General features: G+C 49.5%; 2 annotated features.

Moving 5' to 3' along the window:
• Nucleotides 2,753-2,812: an enhancer, noted in NCBI's record as "active region_98". NCBI's record gives its function as "activates an Ori minimal core promoter by ATAC-STARR-seq in GM12878 lymphoblastoid cells {active_cell/tissue: GM12878}" and the evidence as "EXISTENCE:reporter gene assay evidence [ECO:0000049][PMID:35858748]".
• Nucleotides 5,881-6,411: an enhancer, noted in NCBI's record as "NANOG hESC enhancer chr1:8051898-8052428 (GRCh37/hg19 assembly coordinates)". NCBI's record gives its function as "activates a minimal SCP1, AML or CMV promoter by ChIP-STARR-seq in naive H9 embryonic stem cells {active_cell/tissue: H9 hESC(naive)}" and the evidence as "EXISTENCE:reporter gene assay evidence [ECO:0000049][PMID:30033119]".

Consider the following 6,411-nt stretch of genomic DNA (forward strand, 5'->3'; position numbering starts at 1 on the left):
TCCTCCTGGGCGGGCACATGATCCAGACCCAGCCAATCCGAGCCCTGTTTACCACTGGCCGTGTGACCCAGGTGAGCTCAGTCAGTCCACGAGACTCCATCCGAGGGTCTCATAGCTGCTGGAGTGGCCAAGAGGATATGCTGGCAACCCAGAGCACTGGCAGCCGTCTCGTCACTGCCAGCGAAAGACCTGCTTGGGACGGCTCTCACGCTGTGGGTGGCTGACCCTAGTCCAGAAGGCTGGGCAGATGTTAACTTTTACAATGCAAACACATGTGTAATTGTCTATTTTAGTAAGTGCTTTAACAGATGATAATGCTAAGGGAGAGACGATTTCCATGGTGGGGAGTGGGGAGGGAGGCTTCTGAGGAAGTGACATTTCAGGTGTGAAGTAGGAGCAGTGCTTAGGCTTTCATTCCTTCCCCAGCTGTGTGCTCAGTCAGTACCTACTGTGTGCCAAGTGCTGTTCCTGCTGCTGGGAATACGCCAGGGAGAAACACAGCCTTTGTCCTTGGGGAGCTTATGTTGTGGGTGCCGGGGAGAGATGAAAGCAAATACGAAAATACCCACATTCTATGAAGAAAATTAAGGAGGGTAAGGAGGCAGTGACAGGGGAATTGCATGATGGGAAGTGAAGGCCTCTCCGAAAAGAGATCTTAGTGGGAATCTGAGGACTTTTGGGTGTGAAAGAGACAAGTAGGTGTCTGTTCAGAGCATACCAGGCAGCAGGAGCAGGGAGTGTAGAGGCCCTGCCGCAGGAGCATTGAGAGGCGGGTTAGAGAAACATGGTAGGAGGTGAAGTTGGAGAGGTAGCCAGGGCCATGGTGAGGTGTCAAGACAGAGACAGAACCACCAGAGAGAGACCTGACCCACCTCGTTCAAAGACTGGCCCTGCAGAGAAGAGACCCTTCTGGAGCAGGCACGCAGGCAGGCGGGATGCTGGGGCCAGTCAGGTGGCAGCATTGGGCACCCACTCAGGGTGTGAGAGGAAGGGCGTCCGGGACAACCCCCACTTTTTTTTTTTTTTTTTTTTTTTTGAGACAGAGTCTTGCTCTGTTACCCAGGCTGGAGTGCAGTGGTACGATGATCCCGGCTCACAGCAACCTCCACCTCCCAAGTTCAAGCGATTCTCCTGCCTCAGCCTCCCGAGTAGCTGGGATTACAGATGTGTGCCACCATGCCCAGCTAATTTTTTATTTTTGGTAGAGACGGGGTTTTGCCATGTTGGCCAGGCTGGTCTCGAACTCCTGGCCTCAAGTGATCCACCTGCCTCGGCCTCCCAAAGTGCTGGGATTTCATGTGTGAGCCACTGCGCCCGGCCACAACCCCCACATTTCTGACTTGAACACAGATCATGTGGAGATTCAATGTCTTGAGTTTGTGAAGGAGTCCTTGGGGGAGGGGCTGGGATGAATTTAGAGTTCAGATTGGTGAATTTGAGGTAAAATACACTTTTGTTGTTTTTTTCTTTAGAGACAGGATCTCACTCTAGTCTGCTGGAGTGCAGTATCTCGATCTCGGCTCACTGCAACTTCTGCCTCCTGGGTTCAAGCAATTCTCCTGCCTCAGCCTCCTGAGTAGCTGGGACTACATGCACGCACCACTGTGCCCAGCTAATTTTTGGTATTTTTTGTAGAGATGAGGTTTCACTGTGTTACCCAGGCTGGTCTCAAACTCATAGCCTCAAGTGATCCGCCTGCCTCGGCCTCCCACAGTCCTGGGATTACAGGCATGAGCCACCACGCCTGGCCTTGTTTTGTTTTTGAGACAGGGTCTCGCTCTGTTGCCCAGGCTGGATTGTGGTGGCGCAACTATGGCTCACTGCAGCCTGGTCCTCCCCAGCTCAAGCGATCCTCATGCCTTAGCCACCCAAGTAGCTGAGACTACAGGCACACACCACCATGTCCAGCTAGTTATTTTTTGTAGAGATAGGGTTTCAGTATGTTGCCCAGGCTGGTCTCAAACTCCTGGGCTCAAGTGATCCTCTTACCTCAACCTCCCAAGTGCTAGGATTGCAGCGTGAGCCACAGTGCCCAGCCCACTTTTAATAAGGAAAGAAAACTGGACACCTGCTGTTTGTTTACTGGATACCTGCTATTTGTTTTGTTTGTTTGAGACGGAGTCTCTCTGTCTCCCAGGCTGAAGTCCAATGAATGGCCCTATCTCAGCTCACCACGACCTCCACCTTTCAGGTTCAAGCAATTCTGCCTCAGCCTCCCAAGTAGCTGGGATTACAATTGCCTGCCGCCATGCCCAGCTAATTTTTGCATATTTAGTAGAGACAGGGTTTCACCACATTGGCCAGGCTGGTCTTGAACTCCTGACCTCAGGTGATCTGTCTGCCTTAGCCTTCCAAAGTGCTGGGATTACAGGCATGAGCCACCGTGCCCGGCGGATACCTGCTATTTGAAAGTCACAGGCTGGGTGCGGTGGCTAATGCCTGTAATCCCAACACTTTGGGAGGCCAAGGTGGGTGGATCACGAGTTCAGGAGTTCAAGACCAGCCTGATTAAGATGGTGAAACCCTGTCTCTACTAAAAACTACAAAAATTAGCTGGGCGTGATGGCGGACGCCTGTAATCCCAGCTACTTGGGAGGCTGAGGCAGGAGAATCGCTTGAACCCGGGCAGCAGAGTTTGCAGTGAGCCAAGATCACAGCACTGCACTCCAGCCTGGGCAACAGAGTGAGATTCTGTCTCAAAAAAAAAGAACAAAAAGTGAAACTGCTGATCTGAAAACCACTTATTACTAATAGTGAACAACTGTAAACTCTCTCAAGTTTGCTAGGTGTTTTGCCAGCATCCCTTACCTCTGAATAAGCTCCTTGGAATTTTAGAGATATCTACAGGAAGGGAGATAGTGAAAGAAATTGGCTCTTTGAGTTTTTGTGCCCTCAGGGCAGCAGGAAAAGGTGTTTCTAGATGAGCATTTCTAAAAGAGCATCTCTAAGGTAAATCAGTATTATCAGAGCCCAGGCATTGTAGTGAAGATTCATTTCCCTTTCTCTGACAGTGTTTGGGATGGGGGCTCCAGGAACCAGCTTTATCTAAACCTTGGGCTTTTTCTGGTCCTTCTTGAATGACTAGCTTTTGGCATGTTGATAACATTTTTAAAACCTCCACTCTCTCTTATCTGTCCACTTCTTTCCCAGGCTGAACAAACTTGCTTCCTAAACTTCTGGTCGGGGAGGGGACAAACAAAAATTGGGAACTTAAGTGGGAGGGGTGCTATCTACAGTTGAAAAGTGACCTGGAGTCAGAATTCAGATGTGTGATTAAGATGTGTGGCAGGTGGCTTGACTGTGCTCCTCCTGATTTGGGGGTGAGGGTGTGACAGGCGTGAGCCACTGTGCCCAGCCGATTTTCTTTCACTCTTTATACAAAAGGATCAACTTCTATCCAGAATCCCAAGAGGGGTTGCATTCTTCTGCCCCTGCTTTTTCACTTGTCATATCTTCGAGAACTTCTACCAGTTTGTGGACATTTATGTGCTGCATCTCCAACTCTGTCTGACCAGTAACCCTAGAAAAAGTGGTCATTGGTATCATCCATTGCAGAGAAGAAAGTCTTTCTAGAGGTCAAGAGCCTACTGGGCCTATGCCATAGGATTCATTTCTGTAACTGCAACATCAAATGTAAAATATGATTTTACTTTAGTAGCCAACTGTATCATCTGAGTCTGGTTACTTACTCTATATTCTAGGGTGTTGGTTTCCTAAGGAATGAGGAGGACATCATGTTCTCCTGCAGTCAGTTCTCCTGTAGAATTAGCTTGTTTTTTTTAGAAAACACCCTCCCTTTTTAGAGGGAAGCAGCAGCAGGGACCTGGGCATTCAAGGAGTGCTGGGGGGGATCTGGGCTGCTCTCAGACTCTTCCCTGTTTATTAGCTACAGCATCTTCCCCATGCACACAAGGAGTCTGTCAGCACAGTGCAGAGGAAGGGGCTGTTCCTTTTCACATCTGGGCTGGACACATTCTTCACGGTTCCAGCATGAGGCCTTTCCAGAGCTGGCCCTTTTCCCAGACCCTAGCTTGAGTCCCAAGGCATCCAGGCTGGGGCCAAGGGCTCTTATGGGACTGAGCACTAAGGAAGGTCTTTAGCACTGGGAAGAATGTGAATGCTGGATTCACCACCATCACCATCACCACCACCACAATCACTATCACCATCTCCATCATCATCAACATCCCCACTGTTGTCACCACCACCACCATCACTATCACCATCATTACCATCACCATCACCATCATCACCATCACTACCACCGTCATCACCATCACCCTCACCACCCTCACCATCACCCTCACCACTATCACCACACTCACCACCACCACCATCACCACCATCATTACCACCAGCATCACCCTCACCACCATCACCATCACCACCACCATCACCTTCACCACCACCACCACCATCACCACCAGCATCACCCTCACCATCACCCTCACCACCACCATCACCACACTCACCACCACCATCACCATCACCACCAGCATCACCCTCACCACCACCATCACCATCACCACCACCATCACCTTCACCACCACCACCATCACCACCAGCATCACCTTCACCATCACCCTCACCACCACCATCACCACTACCAACACCATCACCCTCACCACTACCATCATCACCATCACCACCACCATCACCATCACCCTCACCACCACCATCACCATCAGCATCACCACCACCACCACCACCGTCACCATCATTATCACCACCATCATCATCTTTTTCACTTCTTGCAGCTTGCAGGTTCCCAAACAAGTCCCGGACCAGCTGATCAGATGGGATCTCCCCACAGGGCTGCATACCTGCTGGGCCTCAGACATTCAGCTACTTCACAGAGCTGCTTTATTTTGCTTTGCTGTTTCAATTCTGCATGTGATCACATTCTCAGGGTTTCTTTTCTTTTTTTTTTTTTTTTTTTTTTTGAGATAGAGTCTTGCTCTTGTCGCCCAAGCTGGAGTGCAGTGGCACAATCTCGGCTCACTACAACCTCCACCTCCCTGGTTCAAGCGATTCTCCTCCCTCAGCCTCCTGAGTAGCTGGGATTACAGGCATGCACCACCACGTCCGGATAATTTTTATATTTTTCCTGGAGATGGGGTTTCACCACGTTGGCCAGGCTGGTCTCAAATTCCTGATCTCGTGATCCACCCACCTCAGCCTCCCAAAGTTCCGGGATTACAGGCGTGAGCTACCGCGCCCGGCAAGTATTTTGTTTTTAAATTCAGCCTGCTCCTGGAGGTTTTTACTTGGCTTAAAAATAACATGAGACTTGAAAGTTCATTGTCTTAAAAAATAAAGAAGAAAAGACAAAATTGTGGCTAATGGAGGTGCAACCTCCAGACACAAAACTTGGATTGATGATGGTAAAATCTGAGAGCCTGTGTTGGAAGACAGCAGCCAGGAGCGAGATGTTGCCCTCTTTAGATTTCACATCTTTGCTTCAGTGGTTTTCTTTAAAGGCAAGCAAAGGTAAGTAAGCCATAACAAGTGTGCTTGGTTCAGATTTCTTCTTTCCAGAAGAGAATAAGATTTCACAAAGTATACTGAAGAGAAAGTTATGTTTCCTTTTTTTCTTTGAGATAGAGTTTCACTCTTGTCGCCCAGGCTGGAGTGCAATGGTGCGGTCTCCGCTCACTGCAACCTCCGCCTCTCGGGTTCAAAGGATTCTCCTGCCTCAGCCTCTCAAGTAGCTGGGATTACAGGCGCCCACCACCACACCCGGCTAATTTTTATATTTTTAGTAGAGATGGGATTTCACTATGTTGGCCAGGCTGGTCTTGAACTCCTGACCTCAGGTGATCCACCCACCTCGGCCTCCCAAAGTGCTGGGATTACAGGAGTGAGCCGCTGCTCCAGGCTGTTTCCTTGTTTTTTAGACCTAGATGGAATGTGGCCTGGCGACAGTCCCGTATTCACCTGGTCCTGAAAATTCCTCCCTCCAGCCCTCCGTATCTGTTGTGCGGCGGTCTTAGGCCCTGCCTGCCTGGCGCCTGGGGCCCTACTGTGCTATGTGGTCAGTCTTACAAAATGCAGAATTCTCTCTATTTGCATTGCTGAGTGACTAGCTGAGGCAGGTAGGGTGACTGGGAGGAAGCTTTGTTACAGATAACTTGACAGCCGGGGGCAAGTTAAAGGATGATGGTAATAAAAGGATGGTCAGGCCTCAAATTTGGGCTTCAGCAGTAAATCAGTGCAAGAATAAAACTTACAAAGGTCACAGGCAAGAGTGAGATCATCCTCTTTTCTAATACTTGCTTATGCTTCTACATCCCTTATTGAGGAATGCCAGCCACTCAGCACACTTATGAAAGAGTAAATTATCTCCGGATGGTGGATAATACCATGTCATTAGTCCATGAGGCATCTAGCTCAGCGCCACCTGGGTCTTAA

The sequence above is a fragment of the Homo sapiens genome, chromosome 1 (assembly GCF_000001405.40).
Source record: "Homo sapiens chromosome 1, GRCh38.p14 Primary Assembly".
In the NCBI taxonomy this organism is placed as follows: domain Eukaryota; kingdom Metazoa; phylum Chordata; class Mammalia; order Primates; family Hominidae; genus Homo; species Homo sapiens.